This window comes from Homo sapiens, chromosome 17, assembly GCF_000001405.40.
Source record: "Homo sapiens chromosome 17, GRCh38.p14 Primary Assembly".
NCBI classification, from domain to species: Eukaryota; Metazoa; Chordata; class Mammalia; order Primates; family Hominidae; genus Homo; species Homo sapiens.
In genome coordinates, this window is record NC_000017.11 from 3,012,068 (window position 1) to 3,038,575 (window position 26,508).

General features: G+C 51.8%; 1 protein-coding gene across 15 annotated transcripts in view; it reads left to right on the forward strand.

Moving 5' to 3' along the window:
* The window catches only part of RAP1GAP2 (RAP1 GTPase activating protein 2), a 282,097-nt gene extending 256,423 nt beyond the window's left edge, over positions 1 to 25,674 (forward strand). For all 15 annotated transcript variants that reach the window (XM_047435668.1, NM_001411048.1, NM_001438816.1 and 12 more), the window contains 8 exons: positions 5,994 to 6,131; positions 8,410 to 8,528; positions 13,941 to 14,054; positions 14,283 to 14,397; positions 14,877 to 15,003; positions 18,855 to 18,931; positions 20,344 to 20,382; positions 21,325 to 25,674. In XM_047435668.1, coding sequence (XP_047291624.1) covers positions 5,994 to 6,131; positions 8,410 to 8,528; positions 13,941 to 14,054; positions 14,283 to 14,397; positions 14,877 to 15,003; positions 18,855 to 18,931; positions 20,344 to 20,352 — 699 coding nt within the window. In that variant the 3' untranslated portion in view covers positions 20,353 to 20,382; positions 21,325 to 25,674. The remainder of the gene's footprint in view (positions 1 to 5,993; positions 6,132 to 8,409; positions 8,529 to 13,940; positions 14,055 to 14,282; positions 14,398 to 14,876; positions 15,004 to 18,854; positions 18,932 to 20,343; positions 20,383 to 21,324) is intronic.

Genomic DNA, 26,508 nt, shown 5'->3' on the forward strand with positions numbered 1-26,508 from the left:
GCCTGCCATTGCCCTGTGTTGTGCCGCCTGGCACCTCACCCCGCTTGGAGCAGTTCCTTACAGCTCACTTCTGTCCTCCCAGCTGTAATGGAAGCGTTTCTCCCATGAGACACAGAACAGTTGGCTTTTGGACATCTAGACCTACTTTTCAAGCTGAACTGCTTGGAGATAGTCTCAGGAATCTGCTGGTTCTACAAACACTTCTAAAGTTTGCATTTTCACTTAGATCTAAAAAAAAAAACCTTCCAATTATAAAGACTGAACGTTTGGCTGGGCGCGGTGGCTCACGTCTGTAATCCCAGCACTTTGGGAGGCCGAGGCAGGTGGATCACCTGAGGTCAGGAGTTCGAGACCAGCCTGGCCAACGTGGTGAAACCCTGTCTCTACTAAAAATACAAAAATCAGATGGGCGTGGTGGTGCACACCTGTAATCCCAGCTACTTGGGAGGCTGGGGCAGGAGAATTGCTCAAACCTGGGAGGTGGAGGTTGCAGTGAGCTGAGATTGCGCCACTGCACAGCAGATCCAGACTGTGTCTCAAAAAAAAAAAAAAAAAAAAAAAAAACAAACCTAAAGTTTGCAGTGATCACTCCAAATTAAGAGATGTTCCTATAGGGTAAATAGGTAAGGCCTGAAGTCAGCACTGCATACGCAGCCCATGGGGCCACTGGGGTTGGGGGTCTGTGAGCAGATTCTCGGGAGTCTTGCGAGAACAGCTTTCACGATGAAAGAGCTGTACGTTATGTTTGAACGATGCTGATCTCTAGACCATTTTCCAGTGCCATTCTCAGTTACTGCCAGCTGTTGATGAGGTTGTTATTGGTCCGTAATGCAATGAAAAGTGATGATACTTGCTGTACCGACGTCAGATGGACGTAGAGCACGTGCAGGCCACATTTTGAGAAATGCTGAGCTCACCCAGCCCTCCACTGACCTCATCGCACAGAGGTGGAGCAGAGGACCGGGGAGGAGAAGGCTGCCGGGCTGGCTGTGATGGACCCGGGACCGTGGCAAGCTGGGAGTTGCCAGGTTCATTTCTCCCAGCCTTTGAGGGACTGTGATAGTTCATGCCTTGGTCTGACCTGACCCCTAGTGGCAGGAGGGGCCACAGCTATCCCTGGCAGTCTTTGTGGCCCCGCAGTACCTGCAGGGAGGTACCTGTAAGCCGGTCCCCCTAGCAGTGCCAGTGATGGCAGGTGGAGCACAGCAGGGCCCCGCCAAGAATCCTTGGTCTTTGGCGTCTTTGCCCCCTCCTTTTCCTCCTGATGGGGAGTTGTGATGTCAGGATGGCCCCGCTGTTTTGGGGGTCCACGAGAGAGCTCAGGCCTTGTGCTTGGCCCTGCTCCACTCCTGGGTCGGAGTCATGGTCTCTTGGAGCAGAGTTGGCATCTGTCTTGCATTTGCCCCGCTAGAGGGACAGAAGACCCGGTGCTGACTCCTCACACTTACCCAGCCTGCCGCCTCCTCACACTTACCTTGCTGACTCCGGCGGCTGCACCAGGACTAATTGAGGAGCCAGTGTCCTCCCTGACACCAGCCTCTGAGTTTTTCTTTTCTTTTCTTTTCTTTTTTTTTTTTTTTTTTTTTGGTGGGAGCCTTGAAAATTCGTGGTTTCTAATCATCCTTCAGTCATCCACCAGTTGAATTGTATTTTCAACCTGGACCAGTTTTTAATATACAGGGACCCTTTTATCTGGAGCCCAGGGTTCTGGGTTTGGATCCTGGCTCTATCTCTTACCTGCTATGTGGGCTTGGGCAATAATTTACCCTTCAGAACTTTTTCTGTCCAATGCCTGTCCTCTCTGCATCTCAGAATTGTAGAGATTCAATAGATCTTGTATGTGAAGCTCATGAGACCAGATACTGTTACACAGGAGTTACTATTTCCCACATGGAATCCTTTCTGGGAAAGAGACAGGGAGGAATACAATCACGTGTCACTCAACGACGGGAAATACGTCCTGAGAAATGACGGGAATACGTCCTACGACACACGTCGGCTATAGAGCCCGTGGCTGCCAGCACAGACCTGGATGGTCTAGCCTAGGACACACGTCGGCTATAGAGCGTGTGGCTGCCAGCACAGACCTGGATGGTCTAGCCTAGGACACACGTTGGCTATAGGGCGCGTGGCTGCCAGCACAGACCTGGATGGTCGAGCCTAGGACACACGTCGGCTATAGAGCCTGTGGCTGCCAGGTTACAAAGCTGTGCAGCAGGTTCCTTTACTGAATATTGTAGGTAATTGTAACACAAAGACAGGCATTTGTATACTAAACATCTAAATATGGAAAAGGTACAGTAAAAATATAGTATTAGAATCTTAATAGGACCAGTGTCATCTATGCAGTCTGTTGACTGCAGTGTCATTGTGTGGTGCTGGACTGGATTGCAGAATATAAATGATTAGTTTGGAATGTCATGATTGATGATGGTGTTGTCAACGCACAAGGGCACCAAGAGAATGTAAAGATGCTGATTTTTTTTTTTTTTTTTTTTTTTTGAGACAGTCTCGTTCTGTCACCCAGGCTGGAGTGCAGTGGTGCGATCTCGGCTCACTGCAACCCCAGCCTCCTGGATTCAAGCAATTCTTCTGCCTCAGCCTGCCGAGTAGCTGGGATTATAGGCACACACCACCATGCCTGGCTAATTTTTGTATTTTTTACAAAAATTAGAGATGGGGTTTCACCATGTTGGCCAGGTTGGTCTCGAACTCCTGACCTCAGGTGATCCACGTGCCTCCACTTCCCAAAGTGTTGGGATTACAGGCGTGAGCCATCGCCCCTGGCCGAGATGCTGAGATTTATGGAGCACTTAACTCATTCATGGAACCTGGCTGCGGCCAGGCTTGGTGGCTCACTTTGGGAGGCCAAAGCAGGAGGCTTACTGGAGCCCAGGAGTTTGAGACCAGCCTGGGCAACACAGGAAGAACCTGTCTCTATTTATTTATTTATTTTAAAAAAGGAAGCTCGCCGCTCCTCCAGGGACACCTCAGTGTGCCACCACCCCTGTCCTGCCCTCAGTTGTTCAAAGGGTACATGGCTTTATGATGCTTGCGTGACGGGGTAAATAGAACGCGCTGACTGTTTTAACCATGCGGTAGGAAAACTGTTGCTAGGTGACCCTGTTCTATGGTATAGAGAGGGAGTGAGAGATGTCCCTCCAGGGGCATCTTTGACTCAGATAAGAGATGCCCGATCAAATCAGGGGTATGAAGCTGGTGGGCTACACACCTCACTGTCAGTAGCTCATCTAGGGGGCTGTCCGGTTTACAAATGGCCCTCCTGAGTCTGCATCCCTTGTCAGGATAGAAAAGCAGGCAGGATGGGGTTCTTTGCCCTTCCCAAGCTTGGAGAAATCCTGACGTCCAGAGAGCCCAGGGAGACCTGTTGTTTGGGTCAGGAGCAGCAGCCCTGCCATTTTCTTGGGACCACTTTGCTGTAGACCCAGCTCTTCCTAAGATGACTCAAGGCTGGGCGTGGTGGCTCACGCTTGTAATCCCAGCACTTTGGGAGGCTGAGGCAGGTGGATCACGAGGTCAGGAGTTCAAGACCAGCCTGGCCAACACAGTGAACCGCCATCTCTACTAAAAATACAAAAATTAGCCAGGCATGGTTGCGGGCGCCTGTAGTCCCAGCTACTCGGGAGGCTGAGGCAGGAGAATCTCTTGAACCTGGGAAGCGGAGGATGCTGTGAGCTGAGATCGTGCCACACGCTGTACTCCAGCCTGGGTGACAGAGCTAGACTCTGTCTCAGAAAAAAAAAAAGATGGCTCAAAAGAGGAAGGGAGGTTGTCCACATGAGACCATCTGTAGGTTACACATGGGGTGTGTGAGCCAACACAGTTGTACAGGTGTGCACAGGTGTGAATCCAGAGGGGAAGGGGAGCGGGGCCCACACCTTAGTCCTTCTGCATCAGCTTTCTGAAGCTGGAGTTCTGAGAGCAGCCTCCCTCGACTAGCTCACACTACGATAAGGAAAATTCATGAGCTGGTGTCCAAGGAGGGCTGGGTGACTCGTGGCTCAGTCAGCATCAAGATTCCTTTCGTCTTTCCCCTCTGCCCTCCCTGGCTTGTCAGCTTTGTCCCTCAGGCTTGGCCCCTCGTGGCCCTAAGATCATTGTCATGGTTTTGTCTGCTGACAAAACACTGCTGACATGTTAAATCTTTTTTGGGAATCATTGAGAAAACCTTTCCCCAGCGCACCCAGTGGATATGCCCTCCTCTGCCACTGGCAAGAGGATAGGCTAACTGACTGCCTTAGGCAGATCATGACTTAATCCTGCGTCCCATGGAGGAGGAGGACACGTTTGGCTAGAACCTGGCTCTGCCAGTGGGGAGCTCAGGGAGCAGAGGTGTTGATACTTGTATGTGAACAACAGATAATATTCGTGTCCAGGAGTCTTTGCCCTTGCAGAAGCCTGGACAACTGATTAATCCAGAAGGAGCACCCCACAGGCTCTGGGTCTTTCAGCATCGCCCAATGTGAGGAATATGTCTTGGGCATTCCTCAGAGGCAGAGGCCATGTCCTACACATCTCGACTTTCCTGCTGCGGGTCTCCCAGTTCCTGGCACAGTGCTAGGCACGTGAGCAGCCTGCAGCAGGTGCTTGTTATTAACCGTAAGAGTAGCCACACTTATCAGATCATTACGATGTGCTGGGCTGTCTCCTCAGAGCCCTGTGTGTATTCTCACAACTACTCTGTGGTGTAGACACCAACATCTCTTTCACTCTAAGTCTCAGAGAAGCTGGGTCACCTGCCCGGGGTTACTCAGCTAATGCGTGCTGGAGTAGAGGGCCCAGAAGCCCAGATACAAATCCTGGCAGTGAAACCCTAAAGCCTCCATGCTTTTGACTGCTGAGTTGCATTCCTGCCCGGCCAGATCCAGTGACTGATGGAATGATCAAAGGGTTACTGGAGAGAACCTTCTCTTCCTAGAATTCTCACACCATCTTTGAAGGCCTTTGGAGCCAGAGAGAGCATCATCCAGGGGGCAGCCAGAGTCCCCTGGGACTTCTTTTGTCAGGAAATCCCCCCCTGAGGTGGAGCCGAGCTCTGCTTCAACACAGCACTCTGAGGGGTGGTTGTGCCTTCCCGGGTCCATCCCTCCCGTGGCTGAGTAATCTTGGTTTTTAGCTGTTCTCACTCTCACATGTACTTTGACAAAGCCTTGACCTCCCTGGTGGTCCTCTCCTGGGTACTTCACCATTTGCCAGTGTGCCCCTTGCTCCTGGGTGGCCTGAGCAGCTCCGTGCCCCCCGAGACCCTGCACTTCTGCCAGGCTGAGGGTGCATCTCTTTCAGCACCTCCATCAGACCAGGGGCCGTAACAAAGGCGGATCTGAAGCCCCTGCAAGTGGGAGGGGCGGCTCAGTGCATGGATTGATGCACAGATGAGTAAGAGACCCTCACACACTTGCACCCATGGCCAGCATATTCCAAGTTGCCCAGAGCACACTTTGGGATACAATCCAGTGTTTATTACAGATGGAGGCTCAGTTTTCTGGAAAAGAGTCAACTTGTGGTCAGACACCTGAGTGTGTTGAATCCCCACCACGATGCTGGGTGTGAAACATAGAATTCCCATTTTACAGATGAGGAAGCTGTAGCTTAGAGAGGTTAGTAACTAGGTCAGTGTCGCACAGGCTTGGCGAGCTCCAAGCCTCATTTTCCTTACCTGTAAGATGAAGATAATAACCTTTGTCCACCGTGCAGGGGAGCTGGGGCGCTGACCCCTCAGATTCCCTCCAGCCGGGGCTGTGCCTTGCCTCCACCCATGCCCAGAGTGTGGGGCAGAATATGGAAACATCCTCTGTAAGCTGGAGTAACTAGTATGGGCCTCTGTGACCGTGTGTGTGTGTGTGTGTGTGTGTGTGTGTGTATGTGTGCACGCATACGTGTGCTGAGGGCTGTGTCTACAGACCCCACGAGGAGGGCAGAGTCATCCGGAGAGCCCGGGTGCTGATTCTCAGGCCCTTGTTCTCTCCCCGTAGAGGGCCATCCGCGTACGCAGCCACTCCATGGAGACCATGGTGGGCGGCCAGAAGAAGTCGCACAGTGGGGGCATCCCTGGCAGCCTCAGCGGGGGCATCTCCCACAACAGCATGGAGGTCACCAAGACCACCTTCTCGGTGAGTGCTGGCAGGCCCCGGGGCGGCAAGTGGGTCCCAGGGAGGCCCCCCCCAGACCTATGGAGGAAGAGTGCCCCCACCCAGGCTTGGGCAGGTGACTTGATCAGGGCAAGCTGGATGATGGTGGGAAACTGAGGCTGCTTGGGGGTGACCCTGACCCCTGACCTCTGAAAACGGTCCTTTGGAGCCTCCATCCTAGACAGCACCCGGGGTTGACCCAGATGGTGCTAGAAGCCCTCCTGTCCTGTTCTCTTGAGTTTCCTTGACAGCTAGACCTCCTCCTCGGGGCCAGCCCTGCAGTGTGGTCCTGGGGTGTGTTTTGCTGCTCAGGGGCTCGGGACCCATGACTGTGAGAGGGGTGTCCTTGCTTTGTTATTATTAATGGCAGCAGTAGCCACCCCAGCTTACTGTGTACCAGGCACTGAGCTGAGTAACCTGTAGACACAATCTCACCTGCTTCCCATAGCAGCTGCCCGAGATGGGTGCTGATGTGTTCTCCTGTTCCCATTTGAGGAAAAGGAGGCCCGCTGGGGCTCAGTAACTTGCTAGAGGCCACTCAGCTAAGCTTAAGAGCTGGGATTTGAGGCCGGGCGTGGTGGCTCATGCCTGGAATCCCAGCACTTTGGGAGGCTGAGGCAGGTGGACCACAAGGTCAGGAGTTCAAGACCAGCCTGGCCAACTTGGTGAAACCCCGTCTCTACTAAAAATACAAAAATTAACTGGGCGTGGTGGCGGGTGCCTGTAATCCCAGCTACTCAGGAGGCTGAGGCAGAGAATTGCTTGAACCTGGGAGGTGGAACTTGCAGTGAGCCGAGATCATGCCACTGCACTCCAGCCTGGGTGACAGCGAGACTGTCTCAAAAAAACAAAACAAAACAAAACACAAAATCAACTGAATTTGAATGCGATTCTGCTGGATCCAAAGTCTGTGCTGTTCATCACCATGTGTACAGTTCCCAAGGGAAGGGTCCTGCAGGCCTGTGAGTTTGGGCCTGATTGACTCGTACCAGGGGCTGGGAAGGGGAGGGAATCATGTAGTTGGGCCTTTCATAAAGCAAAGTGGGCCGGGCATGGTGGCTGAGGAGGGTGGATCCCTTGAGTCCAGGAATTCGAGACCAGCTTGGGGAACAAAGTGAGACCCCATCTCTACAAAAAAATGCAAAAATTAGCTGAGCATGGTGGCACGCACCAGTAGTCTTAGCTACTTGGGAGACTGAGGTGGGAGGATCACCTGTGCCTGGGGAGGTTGAGGCTCTAGCGAGCCGTAATTGGGCCACTGCACTCCAGCCTGGATGTCAGAGTGAGACCCTGTCTCCAAATCTAAGTAACTAAAGCAAAGTGGCTTTGGATTTGTATAGACTAGGATTTTCCTTTCTTTTCCTTCAAAATAGCAGAACATACTCACCATGGAACTAATTATGAGTATTATAAATGGCCTCGCATAATTAATTTAATTGACTAAATATTTTCCTAGCTATTATCTTGCTTCCCCCTGAAGGTGCATGGCGTGAGCAGAGCAGGGCCTCATCTCCATCCTGTGGATGAGGAGACTCAGGTCGGGTCTCATTGCTCTCCTGAGGTGCCATAACATGTGCATGGCAGGAGCTGGGGCCTGAGTTGGAGGCTTGGTGGCCTCTAGAGGTTGGTTCCAGGCTCCCATCTGCCCTCCTCAAACCCCCACCACTCATTGTCCACTGTGAGGCCAGGCAGCTTTCCAAAGCAGAAGGCGTCTTGGCTGCCGCCAACCGCCCATTGGTGCCTGTGGCCCTGGCTCTGCGGCTCTCAGCCTGTCTTGTTATTGGAACGCCTGCGCGGCTCCATTTGTTTGCGAGGAATGAAGGAGAGTCAGGAGTCCTCACCCTGCCAGTGATTTGCTGGAAGACCTTTGGTCTTCAGCTTCCTTGCCGGTAAAGTGAGAGGTTGAACCAGGTCCCTCCAGGGCCTCCCTGGCTCTGTGCCTCTCAGCCTGTGTCCCCCGGAATTGTTCTGACCTTCTCAATTTGGTGGGCCTGGCCCTGTGTTCCTCCAACAGTTGTGGTCTTTGGTGGATCATGACCTGGGACCACAAGGTTTGGCTTAACACAGGGAAGGAGGCTGTGACTGGCCTGAGTCTCCAGGTCTCAGCTTCAGTTACATAGATCTCAACCTTCCTAGCTGTCTTGCTATTTTCTGGGGTCTCTTCCAGACCAGGAGCCATTTGTAGACCAGGGAGGAGGATGAGGGGATAGGAGATCGGTGTTTGGGCCGGGAGCACTCATTTTGGCAATTTCATCGACAGCCTCCAGTGGTGGCGGCAACGGTGAAGAACCAGTCACGGAGTCCCATCAAGCGACGCTCGGGGCTCTTCCCCCGCCTGCACACGGGCTCAGAAGGCCAGGGCGACAGCCGGGCACGATGGTAACTGTTGGGAAACCCCTACCCCAGCCTGACTTGCGGGGTCTGTCAACCCCCTCCACTGCTACAGCTGTTCAGTGCCCTACCTTGCAGGGAGGAGCTTTGCTCAGCTTTAGGAGATGGCTCTGCCTTCAGGCACCTGTGTGTCCCCTGTCACTCACTCAGCTCTTTATCCAAAGAGGCGGACTTGGCCAGTCTCTGCCTGGGACCTTCCAGAGTTACTCTTGCCGCATTTTGACCCAGGCTAGAAACATTGCTTGGATTCTTGTTTCTTTGCCTCCTTTTTCAACGCTCACTCAAATGGCCTGTCTTATGGGAGCCTTCCCTGATTCTGCCAGGCAGAGTTAGTTGCACCTTCCTCTGGGCTTCTAAAAGGTTCTATGCTTTTTTCTTTTTAAGCAACTCATATATTACATTACATTGAACCTGTTCTTGGTAATTGTCTTTCTGATTCTTTTAAAAAAATGAACACACAGTACTTGTGCATATTTTTGGGGTACGTGTGATATTTTGATAAAATGCATAATGATCAAATCAAGGTAAGAGAAATATCCATCACCTCAAACATTGATCTTTTGAGTTAGGAACATTCAAATTCTTTTCTAGCTATTTTGAGCTATGTAATACATTATTATCAACTATAGTCACTGTATTGTACTATTGAACACTAGATCTTATTTCTTCTATCTAACTGTATTTTTGTACCCATTAACCAACCTCCCTTCATCCTGCCCTCCCCCGCCCCTTCCCAGCCTCTGGTGACACCAGTCAACTTTCTATCTCCACGAGATTCACTTTTTTAGCTCCCACATATGAATGAGAACATGCGATATTTGTCTTTTTTTTTTTTTTTTTTTTTTTTTTGAGACAGAGTCTCTGTTGCCCAGGCTGGAATGCAGTGGCGCCATCTTGGCTCACTGCAACCTCTGCCTCCTGGGTTCAAGCAGTTCTCCTGTCTCAGCCTCCCTGAGCAGCTGGGACTACAGGCGCATGCCACCACACCGGCTAATTTTTGTAATTTTGGTAGAGACGGGGTTTTGCCATGTTGGCCAGGCTAGTCTCGAACTCCTGACCTCAAGTGATCCACCCGCCTTGGCCTCCCAAAGTGTTGGGATTACAGGCGTGAGCCACCGCACCCGGCCACGGTATTTGTCTTTTCATGTCTGGCTTTCACTTAACATAATGACCTCCAATTCTACCCATGTTGCTGCAAATGACAGGATTACATTCTTTTCCATGGGTGAATAATATCCATTGTGTATATAAAAAAGATTTTCCTTATCCGCTTATCTGTTGATGGACACTCAGGTGGGTTCTGTACCATGGCTATTGTGAGTAGTGCTGCAATAAACATGGGAGTGCAGACCTCTTCCATGTACTGATTTCCTTTCTTTTGGATATATTTACCCTGCAGGGGGATTGCTAGATCATATGGTAGCTCTAGTTTTAGTGTTTTGAGGAACCTCCAAACACTGTAGTGTCTGTAGTGGCTATGCTAATTTACATTCCCACCAACACTGTGAGCATTTCCCTTTCTCTGCATCCTCACCAGCATTCTCAATTGCCTGTCTTTTTGATAAAAGCCATTTTAACTGGGGTGAGATGATAGCTTATTGTGGTTCCCGTGGTGGGGGCAGATGTCACAGACTCCAAATTATTAAAGACAAATAATAACAGATGTCAGGATATGGAGAAATGGGAACCCTTTTTCATTGCTGGTGGGAATGTAAAATAGTGCAACTACTTTGGAAAACAGTCTGGCAGTTCCTTAGAAGGTTAAACATAGAGTTACCATATTACCAAGCAATTCCGCTCCTCGGTATATACCCAAGAGAGTTGAGAACGGTTGTCTGTGAAAAAAAGTTTACATTTACATTTCTTTGATAATTAATGATGTTGAATGTTTTTTGATATACTTGTTTGCTATTTGTATGTCTTCTTTTGAGAAATTTCTATTCATGTTTCTTGCCCTTAAAAAAATCACATTATTTGTGTTTTTGCTATTGATTTTTTTGAGTTCCTCATATATTCAGGTTATTAATCCTTGTTGGATGGATAGTTTGCAAATATTTCCTCCCATTCTGCAGATTGGCTCTTTACTTGGTTGATTGTTTCCTTTGGTGTGCAGAAGCTTTTTAACTTGATGTAATCCCATTTGTCTATTTTTGCTTTTGTTGTCTGTGGTTTTGAGGTCTCATCTAAAAAGTTTTTGCCCAGACAGACCAACGTCCTAAAGCATTTCCCCAATGTTTTCTTTTAGGAGTTTCTTTGTTTCATGCCTTAGATTTAATCCATTTTGATTTGATTTTTATGTATGGTGAGAGAGAAGGGTCTGGTTTTATTCTTCTGTATATGGTTATCCAGTTTTACCAGCACCACTTACTGAAGAATGTATATTCTTGGCACCTTTGTTGAAAATGAAATGATCATGTGGTTTTTGTTCTGTATGGTTAATGTGATGTATCACATTTGTTGATTTGTGGATGTTGAACCATCCTTGCATCCCTGGAACAAATCCCATGGTGAATTGATCATGGTGAATGATCTTTTTGATGCATTGTTGAATTCTGTTTGATAATATTTTGTTGAGGATTTTTGCATCTGTGTTTATCAGGAGTACTGGCCTGTAACTCTCTTTTTGTTGTATCCTTGTATGGTTTTGATGTCTTTCTGATTCTTTAATTGATGAGCCCATTTGTTCTTTATTTCAGCAGCCAGCATTTCTTGAGTGGCTGCCATGTGCTGGGCACAGTGCTGAATGCTCAGACAAGTGCTACAAAACATATAAGCCTGTCCTCCAGAAGTTCACAGTCTTGTAAGGGAAAGGGCGGCATTTGGTTGACTTCCAAATTCCCAGGTTTTCTGCCTATAGCCCTGGGTGGTGGCACCATGTTCTGAAGTAGGGCTTGCAGGACAAGAGGCAGGGTTATGGAGAAGGATGAAAAGCTCTGTTTGGAACCTGTGCATGGGAGTTTTTGTGAACCAACAGTAGAGATGTCCAGGGAGTGGTCAGAGTTACAGGTTTTTAAAAATTTTTATTTTACTTTTTTCTTTTATTATTATACTTTAAGTTCTGGAATATAAGTGCAGAATGTGCAGGTTTGTTACATAGGTATACATGTGCCATGGTGGTTTGCTGCACCCATCAACCCGTCATCTAGGTTTTAAGCCCTGCATGCATTAGGTATGTGTCCTAATGCTTTCCCTCCCCTTACCCCCAACCCCCCGACAGGCCCTGGTGTGTGATGTTCCCCTCCCTGTGTCCACATATTCTCATTGTTCAACTCCCACTTATGAGCGAGAACATGTGGTGTTTGGTTTTCTGTTCCTGTGTTAGTTTGCTGAGGATGATGGTTTTCAGCTTCATCCATGTCCCTGCAAAGGACATGAACTCATTCTTTTTTATGGCTGCATAGTATTCCATGGTATATGAGAGGCCTTGAATAGAGAAGGAGAGTTGGGAACCAATAGGGTAGAGGTACTGATTAACGATTGCTTAATTAATATGACCACTGGAGAGGCTCAGTAGAGTACCACATTTAAGGGCAGGTGGAGAAGGGAAGGTGGTGAAGCTGACTGGGAAGGAAAGATGAGAGAAGAGGAGGAGGGGATGGAGTCTCTGAAGCCAGAGGAGGAGAAATTCCAGGAAGGGAGGACATCTGTGTCAGACACACAGAGAAGTCCAGCAAAGTGAGCCAAACCCCTGGACAGATTGACAGGAGGTTATTAGCAACCTCATCAAATGTGCATTGAGACACTTCACACCTCTAGGATGGCTTTAATCAAAAAGACAAATAGTAACAGATGTCAGAGAGGATATGGAGAAATGGAAACCCTTGTTCATTGCTGGTGGGAATGTAAAATAGTGCAACTACTTTGGAAAAGAGTCTGGCAGTTCCTTACAAGGTTAAACATAGAGTTACCATATGACCAAGCAATTCCGCTCCTAGGTGTATACCCAAGAGAGTTGAGAACAGTGGGCCATGAAAAAAAATGAGTCCACTAGTACAACTAGTGTACAGATACTCATGGCAGCACTATTTATCATAGCCCAAAGTGGAAACAGTCCAAATGTCCATTGTCTGATGAATGGATAAACAAAGCGCCATCTATCCATAAAATGGAATATTATTGCAGTAAAAAGGAATAAAGTCCTGATACAAGCTACAACATAGACAGACCTTGAAAACATTATGTTAAGAAGCCAGACAAAAAGACCATAACATATTATATGATTCTATTTACATGAATGTCCAGAAGAGTACAATCTACAGTGATGGCTTCGGGATTGGGTGGGAGTTACAGGGAGAGGACTAGGAAGTGATTACAAATGGGTCCAGTGTTTCCTTTAGGGGTCCAAAAGTATTCTAAAATCAGATGGTGGTGATAGTTGCACAACTCTGAATAAACTAAAAGCCATTGCATTGTATACTTTAAATAGGTGAGTTCTGTGGTGTGTAGATTCTGTCTCAAGAACACTATTATTTAAAAAGTACATTGACGGCCAGGTGCGGTGGCTCACGCCTGTAATCTCAGCACTCTGGGAGCCCGATACAGGCAGATGACTTGAGGTCAGGAGTTCGAGACCAGCTTGGCCAATGCAATGAAACCCCATCTCTACTAAAAGTACAAAAATTAGCTGGCCATGGTGGTATACGCCTGTAATCCCAGCTGCTTGGGAGGCTGAGGCAGGAGAATCACTTGAACCTGGGAGGCGGAGGTTGCAGCAATCCAAGATCGCACCACTGCACTCCAGCCTGGGCAACAGAGCGAGACTCAGTCTCAAAAAAAGTGCATTGAGGACACGGCCATCCCATCCCCAACAGCCAGCACAGGGAGCACTGTGGGCACTGTCCATGGTCTTTGTTACACTAAAGGAGAAGGATATTGTTGGCTGAGAGTACCCCTTGCTTCCCAGCTCCCAGGGCAGCCTCCTCATGTGGGACCAGGAGCTCGTATTCTAGTCTATATGAAGGATGGCCCCCCGGGACTTCCCAGGAGTCCATGTGTATTGGGTGGTTCCTGCGGTGGGGGCGGATGTCATAGACTCTGCCATATTCCCTGCTCCATTCCCCACGGGGCCCTCTCTTGACCCACAACTCCGCCAGGTGTGATGGCCAGCTTGGGTGAGAGAGATCTGGGCTAGAGGCCGTCAAGCCAGGACTCCTGCTTGGCAGCTCTGGACTTCACCATGAACCTAGAATAGTCCCTGTTGTAGGGACCGGGAAACCCTGTAGTATGCCGCCATCTCTGGGGGGCTCAGGTGGGAAAGGACATCCAGGCAGTGATGCCAGGCGGGGGCGCTCTGACCCCACTGCCCCTCACCGTGCCGAGAGAGGCTCTGCCTGGGGCCGTGGATGGGGTGGGGGTTGAGGGCTGTCTCCGCGGCCTCACTCCTCATTTCCATTCCCTCAGTGACAGCACATCCAGCACACCCAAGACCCCAGATGGTGGACACTCCTCTCAGGAGATAAAGTCTGAGACCTCATCCAATCCCAGCTCTCCGGAAATCTGCCCCAACAAGGAGAAGTAAGAGAGTGAGGGTGGGAAAGGCCAGCTTCGGCCACGTGGAGCCCTGGAACACGCCCTCTGCCTCCTGGCCAGCTGAGAGTGGCCATCTCCTGCCTCTGGAACTCTCCAGAACACAAAGGCCGACGGGTGGGGGCGTGGGGAGCCGCCAGAGGTCCCGGGGAGGACCCTGGGGGTGGAGGGCTCTCGCGTGTGACCCGGGCTGGCCTCACTTCCTATTCCCTGCAGGCCCTTCATGAAGTTGAAGGAAAACGGCCGTGCCATCTCCCGCTCCTCCTCCAGCACCAGCAGCGTCAGCAGCACTGCAGGGGAGGGCGAGGCCATGGAGGAGGGCGACAGTGGGGTAGGTGTGCCCCGTCCACCCTTGGGCAGGCACTCTGGGGCGTCAGCCAGCCACCCTCCTTGCATTAAAACGGCACTGTGGATCGAAGCCCATGTCAGTCTTTGCAGAGGAAAGGGGAAGAATGGAAACGAGAGGTGGGCTCGTTGGCCATCACCACCCCCTGGGCGCAGTGGGTGAGGGGACCTCTCTCTCAGAGTGACATAGCAGCAGCAGAGGGCAGGGGCCAGACCCGATGGTGCCCTGCCTTGGGGTTCCTGGCTGGAGTGGTGAGTGGCCAGTGCCCCAGGGGGCTGGGTCAAAGGTCCTTCTTGGAGCAGGATAGCTTGGAACCAGGGTTGAAGTCAGCAGGAAAGAAAGAGCAGGCCCAAGTGGGGAGCAGGAGGCAGCGGCTGTCCTGGGCTTTTGGGGGCTGCCTCAGGCCTGCGTGGGCGCAGCTGCCGAGGGTGGGCTGGCCTCGCTCACCCTGCCTCTCTCCTCAGGGCAGCCAGCCGTCCACGACCTCACCCTTCAAGCAGGAGGTGTTTGTCTACAGCCCGTCCCCGAGCAGCGAGAGCCCCAGCCTGGGGGCAGCTGCCACCCCGATCATCATGAGCCGGAGTCCCACAGGTCAGTGGCATCTGGTGGTGTGTGTGACGTCACCAGGAGGGCAGGCTGTGCCCTGTCCACTGTTAGCAGGGCCCCAGCCACGCTGAACTGGCCAGTTTTCACCCCTCCTCCCAGCTGTGAGGCCCTCCGCTCTGTGCGCCCGCCTCTTCTGTTCATCAGCCTTAAGATGCCCAAGTTCCTAAGCTCTTCTTACACTGAGAGTTGTGAAGCTGAGGCAGAGAGTTGAAGGCCTTGTGGGAGATCCCACAGCGGAGGAGTCGGGATTGGCAGTGGGAAAGCTGAGCACTTTCCATTAGCCCTTCTCCCCACCTGCCAGTGCTCCAACCCTTCTCCCCACCTGCCAGCGCTCCAGGGCTGCCAGGGCCCGTCTGTCATGTCGGGGGTCTTGATAATACAAGACGGGGGAAGGGCTGCAGGGGGAGGGAACAGCATGTGGAAAGGCCCAGAGGAGAGGAGAGAGCGGGTATTCCGGAACTGCACGTGTTCATGGCAGCTGGGTTCACAGAGCCAGGCGTCAGAGAGGCCGGAGCGTTGACAGGCTGGGTCAGCCCCGGGCCCCGGGTGAGGATTTTGTTCTGCTAGCGGCCACTGTTGGAGTGTTTGAAGGTTCTTAAGTAGGGAAGCACCATCTGGAGTTGAGAAAGTCCATTTTGGCTGCTGCAGCTGCTGAGTGTAGAATGGATTAGTAGAGAGCAGGAGCAGAGGGGAGGGATGGAGGGGAGGGGAGAGGAGGGGAGGGGAGCTGCGGCAGAAGCACCTCGGTTCAGGAGAGATCAAGGAGGTAAAATGTACGGGCTCAGTAGCAGGGGTTCAGAGAGAGCAGGAGTCTGGGCGTTTTGGGGTTCTGTGATCCCTGCAGTTGGTCAGAATAGGGGGGCCAGCACCTGAGGGCCGTTCAGGTAGACCTGTGCGGTGGGCACTGCTGGGCGGGTGCTCCGGGTCTCTGCCCTCGTGAGGGCAGCACAGGACTTTGAGCCTGGGTCCAAATCCTGGGTCTGCTGCTTACTAGACATGTCATTGGGCGAGTCACCAAGCCTGTCTGTGCCTCAGTTTCTCCAAGCAGAAAATGAAGGGAGGGGAAGAGTCGTGTCTGCCTCAGAGGGTTGGTTGTATGAAGATGAAAGGAGCTCATGCTTGTACGAGGCCTGGAACTGTTAACCTCGGTGTTGGTTAAAGAATGGGAATGAGACAATAGTGTAGTCAGCGGTTCTGAGCCGGGGGCAGTCTTGCTACCCCATGGATGTCTGGCAATGTCTGGCGACATTTTTAATTTTCACAATTTTGGAGGGGTGCTACTGGCATCTAGTGGGCAGAGGTCACGGAAGCTGATAAGCAATGTACAGGACAGCCCCCTAGCCACATCAGACAAATAATTCTCTGACCCCAAATGACATTCGGTTGAAAAACTCTAGTCTCAATGGTAGAAACACAGGAAGGGCCAACAGGCCTTCAGGGTGGCTGAAGCCAAAATGTTCCTGGGGTTCACACAGCGAAGGGATGTTGCAAAGGGAACCTGCAGGGTCAGAGATGAAGGGAAGATCGTGATTCCACAGCCAGTGACCCTTTGCATGCGTGTTTCTCAGTGAGTGGAAGAGTTCACGTGCCTCCTCTCATTCAGCCCCCTGTGGTTGGGCAGCTGCGGAGCTGGGTTCAAATCCTGGTTGTAGCATTGACAGGTCCACGTCTCTGAGCCTCAGTTTCCTCATCTGTAAAAGGGGGTGGAAATACAAATTCCCTGATTTTTTTTCGAGATGGAGTCTCACTCTGCCACCCAGGCTGGAGTGCAATGGCGCAATCTCGGCTCACTGCAACCTCCGCCTCCCAGGTTCAAGTGATTCACCTGCCTCAGCCTTCCAAGTAGCTGGGATTACAGGCATGTGCCACATGCCCGGCTAATTTTTTTATTTTTAGTAGAGACACAGTTTCACCATGTTGGCCAGGCTGGTCTCGAACTCCTGACCTCGTGATCCACCCACCTCGGCCTCCCAAAGTGCTGGGATTACAGGCGTGAGCCACCGCGCCTGACCTGGTGTTTTTGTTTTGTTTTGTTTTGTTTTCTAAATAAGACTTAAATATTGAAGGAATGAATGAAAGAATCTGTAAGCAAGCCTGGCCCCCACTTGGTGTTAAATAAACGTCAAAGTAAGGAAGGTTTTGAGTAAAGGAATTAGAGAGTCTCTGCAGGTTGCTGAAGGTCACCGAGGGCGGAAGGGACCTGGAGCGGGTCTGGTGACTTATGGCCGGTGCTTCCCACACCACACGGTGAGGCTGCCTCTTACACACCTTTTCTCCACACAGTATTTAACCCCGATGGGCTGCTTTTCACCCCCAGCCCACGAAAGATGTGCTTGGTACCCACTGGATCAGGGTGGGCTTGGGGGGATCTGGGAACCGGTTTCATGCTGTTTGGCTGAGTCTGGGGAGAGGCAGGGTGGAGTGGGGAGAGGTGGCCTGACGTCCTGACGTACAGTCTCCATAATGTCAGATATCTGATCATGGTCATTTCCTACCTGGGCTTCCTGGGGCACAGAAGAGGACTGATAGGTTACACAGAGGTGTTGTAGCCCTGGGTGGAACTCCTCGATTCGAAGCACCACGAACCAGCCAGCAGCTTCCAGGAAGGCTGCACTAAGCTTTCCATACCCTCGGCCAGAGGACAGCCAGAAAGTCAAGTGGCCCTCCTGCCAGCGGGGCACAGCGGGAAATGTTGACACCGGGCTCTGCCACCACTCACACACACTTAACGGAATTTTATTATACGATGGATGTCAAACCCAGTGTACAAATACTAGATAATATTCTTTACCATAAGTCCCATATGTCCAACTGATTCTCACAGAATGCTTTTAGTGGTGTTTGCTTCACCTTTTTATCTGTAGCCAACTTAAGGCTGCAGGAGATGAATGTGTGTAATTCTGACATGAATGTGGACTGATATTACCATGTTTGTTAATAAGTATTTTATATGTATATATTATATATACATATATAGTATATACATATAATATACATATGTTATAGATACACATAATATACATATATGTATATATTATATATACATATATATTATATGTTATATGTATATACATATGTATAATATATATTATACACACACACACACACACACTCACTCTCATGGCGCCCGGCCATGAGTATTTTGTATTAAGAGAACTTCATTCGTCAGTGACATGAGTCATTTCCTTGCTGTATCCGAGAAAAGTTTTCAAACCCCGGAAGGATATTTCCTCAGTTTTCTTTTGTGCTATTCACAATGTAATCGCTGCAGACACAGCATGTTTTGAAGTTTCATGTAAATTCCTTTTTTTCTATTAGTTCCTTAAGTCTAGACAACAAAACAATCAATCAAGTCATGATTTGTAGCATGTACCAGTTTCTGTGGTGTAAATACACTTGTCGTGGCTGATCTCAAGCTACTGACGTGATGTCCTCGAACGTGGACTTGGGAAGAAGATATACTGTAGCCACCATCTTTAGGGTGTTTCTACCACATGGATACAATAGACGTAAGAGCACAGATAATCGTAAAACAGAGAAAAATAAGTAGGAAGTGACGAATTTCAAGTATTTATTACCTCTGTTGAATATAATTTATTGAACTGTAAGCTTATATATAATTCAACTTTAAAAAATGGCCTGAGTTGAACAACCAGCTCACCACAATTCTATAATCTAGGAGTTGGCTCTCGTGGGTCGGCACAGGTCAGCTAGGGTGCCTGGTCCTGGTGGAGGGCAGGAGGCCCCCTTCCCCTGGCCTCCCTAGCCAGTCCCCACACACAGCCCCAGTGGCCTCCACAGCTCCACCCTCCTTTCATGGCCGTTCTTTTTCTTAGATGCCAAAAGCAGAAACTCCCCGAGATCGAACCTGAAATTCCGCTTTGACAAGCTCAGCCATGCCAGCTCTGGTGCGGTAAGGATGCGCCTCCCACACCCCACACTCCACTTTCTGCAGAGGCCCAGCCTTCCTTCCTGAGGCCAGAGGAAGAGGGTTCAGACATCCCAGAGGGGGCTCCCCGAAGGAGGCAGGGGAAGCTCTGGGGACGTCTGGCTCCAGCAGGTGCAGGCCGTGTCTCCGGGTTCCAGCCACCTTTGCCACAACTCCCAAGGTGGAGCTACACCTCTGGACACGGCCAGGCCCAGATGTGAGGTGGGAGGTGCTGGTTCCTGGGTCCCCCAGTCCCTTCCTGAGCTCTCCAGACTATCGAGAGCTCCAGGCCCAGTTGTGAGGTGGGAAGGGCTGGTTCCTGGGTCCCCCAGTCCCTTCCTGAGCTCACCAGACTATCGAGAGCTCCAGGTCCAGATGTGAGGTGGAAGGTGCTGGTTCCTGGGTCCCCCAGTCCCTTCCTGAGCTCTCCAGACTATCGAGAGCTCCAGGTCCAGATGTGAGGTGGAAGGTGCTGGTTCCTGGGTCCCCCAGTCCCTTTCTGAGCTCGCCAGACTATGGAGAACTCCAGGTCCAGATGTGAGGTGGGAAGGGCTGGTTCCTGGGTCCCGAATCCCTTCCTGAGCTCACCAGACTATCAAGAGCTCCAGGTCCAGATGTGAGGTGAGAAAGGCTGGTTCCTGGGTCCCCCAGTCCCTTTCTGAGCTCGCCAGACTATCGAGAACTCCAGGTCCAGATGTGAGGTGGGAAGGGCTGGTTCCTGGGTCCCGAATCCCTTCCTGAGCTCACCAGACTATCGAGAGCTCCAGGTCCAGATGTGAGGTGGGAAGGGCTGGTTCCTGGGTCCCCCAGTCCCTTCCTGAGCTCTCCAGACTATCGAGAGCTCCAGGTCCAGATGTGATGTGGGAAGGGCTGGTTCCTGGGTCCCGAATCCCTTCCTGAGCTCACCAGACTATCGAGAGCTCCAGGTCCAGATGTGAGGTGGAAGGTGCTGGTTCCTGGGTCCCCCAGTCCCTTCCTGAGCTCTCCAGACTATCGAGAGCTCCAGGCCCAGTTGTGAGGTGGGAAGGGCTGGTTCTTGGGTCCCGAATCCCTTCCTGAGCTCTTCAGACTATCGAGAGCTCCAGGTCCAGATGTGAGGTGGGAAGGGCTGGTTCCTGGGTCCCGAATCCCTTCCTGAGCTCTCCAGACTATCGAGAGCTCCAGGTCCAGATGTGAGGTGGGAAGGGCTGGTTCCCGGGTCCCCCAGTCCCTTTCTGAGCTCGCCAGACTATCGAGAACTCCAGGTCCAGATGTGAGGTGGGAAGTGCTTGTTCCTGGGGTCCTGAATCCCTTCCTGAGCTCACCAGACTGTTGAGAGCTGAGTGCACAGAGCCGCCGTGGAAGGGACCTGTGCTGTCTGGTTATTTAAACTCCTGTATGGATTTTTGTTGAAACAGGGTCACTAATGTGAAAGTGGAGTCCTTCGCCTGTCCAAGGTGGGTTGAGTGAATGTCCTGCTGTGGCCGTGAGGGGGGACGTGTGTTTCTTTTAGATCAGGGAACTAGAGGCCTTGTAACCTCAGAATGGCCGGAGAGATGCCGCCAGCTGGGGATGTCCAAAGAGTCTCCTACTCGCCCCTGAAGACCTGCAATGGGGAAGGAGGGGCAGATGGCCTGTGTGCGGATGGGAAGGGGGTTCCCAGTGACACTGGACTAGACGTACTAGTTAGGCCTCCCTTCCACCGATGGGGTCTGGTTCCCGCAGGCAGAAGGGGAGTCGCCCAAGCCCGCTTCTGACCCAGGAGGGAGGAGTTCCTGAGGGCTCCCTTGCTCCCCTGCCCTCAGGCAGCTGTTCCCTCCTTGTGTCTTTGGCGGAGGCCCTGGGCTGAGGTGTGTTCTCCCTCCCTGTCGGGAGTCAGCACTGTGAGGGACCACCCCAGGAGGCCTCTTCCCCTGCCTGCTTTGAGGGGGCACGTGGTTTGAGCAGAGTGGCCGTGGGTCCAGCTCGCCCCCATCAAGGCCTGGATTTCTGCTGGGGAAGTCACCAGAGACCCATCTGAGCTCCCAGCCCTCTCCCCACATGGGGCTTCAGGGGTCAGAGTCACAGCTGGAGCCAAGAGGAGGGGTACAACCGAACCCACTCTGTGTTCAACCTGATTTATGAAAAAGCAGAAGACAAATGGGCATATGGACCTTCACCCCCGGCTCCCATCACGCACTCTGGACGCCACTGCCCACCAAAGCCGTGGCTATGCGCAGCTTCTCGGGCCACGCAAGGTGGGGCACCCTTACATCAGGTGCCCTCCTGCTCCTGAGTGTATCCAGTGAGCTGTAGCCATGGGCAGGCGTGTTCCCCACCCCTTGCTCCCGACGTCCGCGTCGTCCCCTCCTTCCTGTACGGAATGTTCGCTCATCGCCGCCTCCTCCTTGTCTCCTCAGGGAATCCCCTCTTCTGTCCTGGAAAAGGCTCCTGTACCAGCAGTTTGGGAGTGCCGTCCACGACCCTGACAGTCCCAGCCCTGCTGCCCCATGGCCACGTGCCCACAGATGTGCTGTTGGTCCAGGTGTCCCAGTCTGGCCACAGCCCTGCCTCCGCCCTCACCTACATGCCCTCCCAGCCCCTCCCATCTCTGGACGAGGCCTCCTTCCTCAGGTTCCTCCTGCTCCTGACCTCCCAGTGTGATGTCCGGGTCCTTTATCATCCTATTCATCCTGGAGAGGAAAAGTGTCGGGCAAAGGGGGATCTGGGGGGAGCTCAGCAGTGACTGGGGAGCTGGTCTGCCTCAGAGACAGAGTAGGGGGTGGGAGCAGAGCCTCGGTGAGGGTCTTGGCCACAGGGCAGTGCCTTCCTGAACGTGGCAGGCTTTACTACCAGGAACGCACTCGGTGGTGGAGGCCCCATGTTCCCAGGAGCCAAGATTCGTAGCATCCTTGAGGCCATCCTGATAAAATTCGGCGCTATTGCCCCCGTAGCTCTGGAGCTCTAAACCGTCTATCTGCTTCTGTGCTGAACGCCTTTCCCATCTGCTGACGTAGGCCCAGGGCTGCCCTGCCCCTGCTGCCAGTGTACCGTGAGCGGGGCTCCAGCCAGTTCAAGCTCAGAGCCAGAGCTGGACGGGCCAGAACTGCGCTGCACACTTCCTGGACTGAGGCGGGGACTTTGGGTCCCACCCGGTTTCTCCTGATTATGGCTGCTGTGGGGTGAGGGGAGGGAGGGGCAGCCCCGAGGCAGTCTCTTCCCTTTGAGAAGATATTTTCCCACAAAGGGGTGGGAAGCCAGGAGTGAGAAGGAATTCAGGGAGAGCAAAGGAGCCAGTGCTGAGATGCTGCTGTGTTGGTTGAGGAAAACCTCGGGCCTGAGGGCCAGGCCGGAGCCCAGGTCTCTGCTGACAATGGGGGTTCAAGGAAGACGTCGTTATCTCCCCTCCCCACTTACTCGAGGAGAGAGGTGAGGGGGGGATGACTTGCGGGTTCTGATCAGGCCCCTGGGTGGGGAAGGGGCACAGTGTCCCTCAGCAGCTTACGCCCCTGGAGTCTTGGGGGGCCCAGCCTGGCCCTGGGGCCTTTTCCAGCTACTGTGCCCTTGGGCAGCTGCGTCTGGGGCTCAACCCCCCAATCCTGTTCCCCTCTCCAGCTGCGGGTCTGTAGGCAGCTGTCACATCTGAAGGGTTTCTGCAACCTGGACCCCATCTGGGTGTGGGTCAGACCCTGTGACCCACATGCCACCCCCACCCTCCACAGAGCCCCCTTGCTGGGACAGCCAGCTCACCTCCAAGGACATCCCCTCCTGGCTTCTCCCCCTTCCGAGTCTGCAGCGCCGTGGGCTTCTCTGCCGATGGGCCCGGGTTGGGGTTAAGGTGGGCATCCTCCAGGTACAACGAGCCTGAAGAGCCCCTTTCAGTGCAGACGGGGCTGCAGAGTGACACTGGCTGGGCACCTGCCCCACGACCAATGACAAGGATTTCCAGCTGAATGCTTTATTCCCATAGGGATCTGGACCTGTGCCCAAGATATAAATACTACACTTTTTTTTTTTTTTTTTAACTGACATTGTGAAATTCTCCCTATAGCTTTTGCCATTCAAGCAACATTGTGATCTTTCTTCCCCGCCACGTGTGTGGGAATGATTGAGTCCTGTTTGCAAGCTGGAGAGGAGCTCTCCCTTTGCTAGTACTTTCTCTAAAGTACTAGTCTAGTAAAATTTATTCTTGTTAGAAGGTCAACAAAATATCTGTTTAGCTTTTATGAAGAGTCACCGTAGCAGCCCCCACGGCTGGAAAGAGGCCTGTACGTTCTGGACGCGTTTTGTTGGCTGGGCTTCTGGAGGCACTGGCAAGGTCAAACTGCATTTCTTTAAGAACAGTTGCAGGATCTGGCTCGCCTCTGTGGGAAGCCGGCATTACAGGTGCTTGGTGGATGGGCCGTGTCACATTGCCATCTGGGGTCCTTTGGGGTTTCCAGGTTGTCACCATGCTGTCCCATTTGGGAATCCCATACCTGCCTGTCCCCACTGCGCTGGCTGACCCTTGCTGCCTGCTGCCTCTTGGGAGGGCTTTGTCCCTGCCTCTGAGCTGGTGGGCAGGATGGCTGGGTGGCCCCCAGAGAAGCACAGACCTGAGATGGGGTCTCCATGCCCGGTTTGCTGTTGGAATGATCTGAACAGGACCCCAAATGCCTCTTCCCTCTGGTCATGCCTCACTATCTCTAGGAGCTCCATCCTGTGGCTTCCAGAGTGTGCACTTCCAGCCCACCCGGGCAGTGCTGAGAGGGAGGAGGAGAACAAGGATGGCCCAGCCTCCCCTCCCTCCCCTAGACCACGGGGCGGGCAGCTCGGGTTCCTGGAGGGCTGTTTCCCCCACGCTGTCCCTACATCTGCTCTGATCTAAAATGTCTTTCCTTTTATGCTGCGCCCAGTCTTGGGGCTCAAAGATTTGCCCAAACCTCATTGGCCCTCGTGACTAGGCTCATCTAGATGGTGCTCACGCTGGTGTTTGAGGCATTTCCACTGTGATCTCCACGAGGGGATGTTTTCCGGGACACATCTCTGGCTCTGGGAACTGCCTGACTCACTGAAGAAACTACTTTTCAGGCACTGTAGGGTCACCCATATGCCTCCAGCTCAGTTGACGCTTAAAAACAGGTGCAGAAAAGCTCGCGATGGAAGGTCTTAATGAGAGTGTCTGTCTATGCCAATCATGTAAAATGACGTTTCTTGAAAAAGATTCAGTGGTTCAGCTTTGTCAGCATCATCTCAACACAAGCCTGCTGGCTCTTTTTAGCATCTCATCCAACCATGTCATCGTCCAGATGAGAAATCTTAGCCCAGGTGAGGGGAGTAACTTGCTTGAGGTCACACAGCTGGCTGTTGGCAAAGCTGGGATTAGAACCCTCAACCCAGGGTCCCTTCCTCTGCAGCGCCTACATGGTTGGTTGAATAAGTGGCTGCGTTTCCTGGGGCCCTGGGTTTTGGGGAAGCCAGTTAGCTGCTGCTTTGGCACTGGCATGGAGGTGAGCAGTCAAGGATGCTGGTGAGGCTGCAGTTTCTGCTCTTTTTCATCAGGGGGGATAGTCTCTAGGATTTTTCAGTGAGGACCCTTGGGCTTTGGATGCAGCTTGAACCAAGAAAACGAGGAGGGAAAGGGATTCAGTGAACTATTCCTCAGTGGGATCGGTTCTTCAGCTCCTGATGGGGGCTGTGTAATGGGGGCAGAGGCCAGGGAAAAAGATGCTGTTCACCCACCCTCAGCTTCCCTTTTCCTAAATTAAGAGGAAAAGTGGTCAAAGAAAAACTCTTCATTTCTCCCTGATTCTTAAACGAAGGTGGTTAATAGAAACTCAGGCTCCCGTGACAAGGCAGGACAAGAGCCTGTTTCGCTTTCCTCCCTGACCCTGCCAGGTGCCAACTCAAACACTACCTTTCTCATTGGTTTCTAAGTCAGTAGAGACAGATCTGTTTTAAGCAGTTGGGGGTTCGAGTAGATCTCATGGGTACAGGAGGCCAGCAGGGACCAGGCCAGTCAGCCATGCTCAGGACCCCTCGGCTCCTCCCCCAGCCTCTAGCTACCCTGTATCGAGGCAAGGGGAGGCCAGTAAAGTTTGCCAAGCCTGATCCTGCAGCCTGGTGGGGCTGGCTGGGGTATTCTTTTACCAAACTCTGTTTTACCGCCAGCCCCTTGTACACCCCAATCCCATGTCTCCCTCCCTTCAGCTGGACCGTGTGCCCCTTTGGGAGGAAGAAGACAAGCCCCACTAGGGCCAAGGGCAGCAGAGCCCTGCCGAGTGAGAGGCTGTGGGGCAGCGGCTCTGTCCTGTGCCTTACCAGCCCTGGGGAGGGGGGCATTTGGCTGGAAGACTGGAATTTAATTGCCATCGTCTTTGATTTTGTGACATTTCTGCTTGGAAGTGTGAACTACCCCCCCCCCCCCGCTTCCTGCTCCTTAGCATGCGTGCAGCTCTCTCCTGTTTTGGGTGTTCCCCTTGGACACTCCAGCTCGGGGACTGCTGGCGTGTGAATGTGCAGATTCCCCTGTGTGGTCGAACCTAAGAACTGTGGCTTGGAAGTGATGCTCCATGTGACGACGACTTTGCTTTCTTTCCTCTTAGTGAGGAGGTGATTCGTAGATCCCAACTGCCTATGTAATGTAAATAATGTACATTTAATTTATTGCTATGGTAGCACATTGTATTTGTTAATGTACAAAACAAATTCTAAAAGGTTGACAAATGTATATTTTGTTGCTTAAATGTGTCTTTGCAGAAATTGACAATAAATAACATATTTTGTGTCCATCAGTGTTCAGAGTTCTTTGCATGGGGCCCTGGGCCTGGGGGTCACTGTTCAGTTCACTGGAAGTTGCATATTCTCTGGCCAATAGATGTGTTACTTTAGTCTGAGATGTATTTTTAAACATTTACATTAATTGTTGATGTTTAAAAAACTGACGACAATTAGAAAAGTGGCCGGGCGTGGTAGCTCCCACCCAGAATCCTAACATTTTGGGAGGCTGAGGCAGGAGGATCTCTTCAGCCTAAGGGTTTGAGACCAGACTGGGCAACATAGTGAGGCCCGATGTGTACCAAAAAAAAAAAAAAAAAAAAAACAAAAAACAACCAAAACCCCAAAAAACCCCTAAAAAATTAGCTGGGCAGGTGGCACGTACCTGTGGTCCCAGGTACTCAGGAGGCTGAGATGGGAGGATCACTTGAGCCTGGGAAGTCAAGGCTGCAGTGATCTGTGATTGCAGCGGTGCACACCAGCCTGGGCGACAGTGATACTGTGTTTCAAAACAACAACAGCAACAAAAAAGCTCTGCGCAGTGGCTCACGCCTGTAATTCCAGCACTTTGGGAGGCTGAGGTGGGCGGATCACTTCAGGTCAGGCTTTCGAGACCAGCCTGGCCAACATAGTGAAACCCTGTCTCTACTAAAAACACAAAATTTAGCCAGGTGTGGTGGCAGGCACCTGTAATCCCAGCTACTCAGGAGGCAGGAGAATCTCTTGAACTCGGGAGGCGGAGGTTGCAGTGAGCCAAGATTGCGCCACTGCACTCCAGCCAGGGCGACACAGAGCAAGACTCTGCCTCAAAAAAAAAAAAAAAAAAAAAAAAAGAAATTTTACATAAA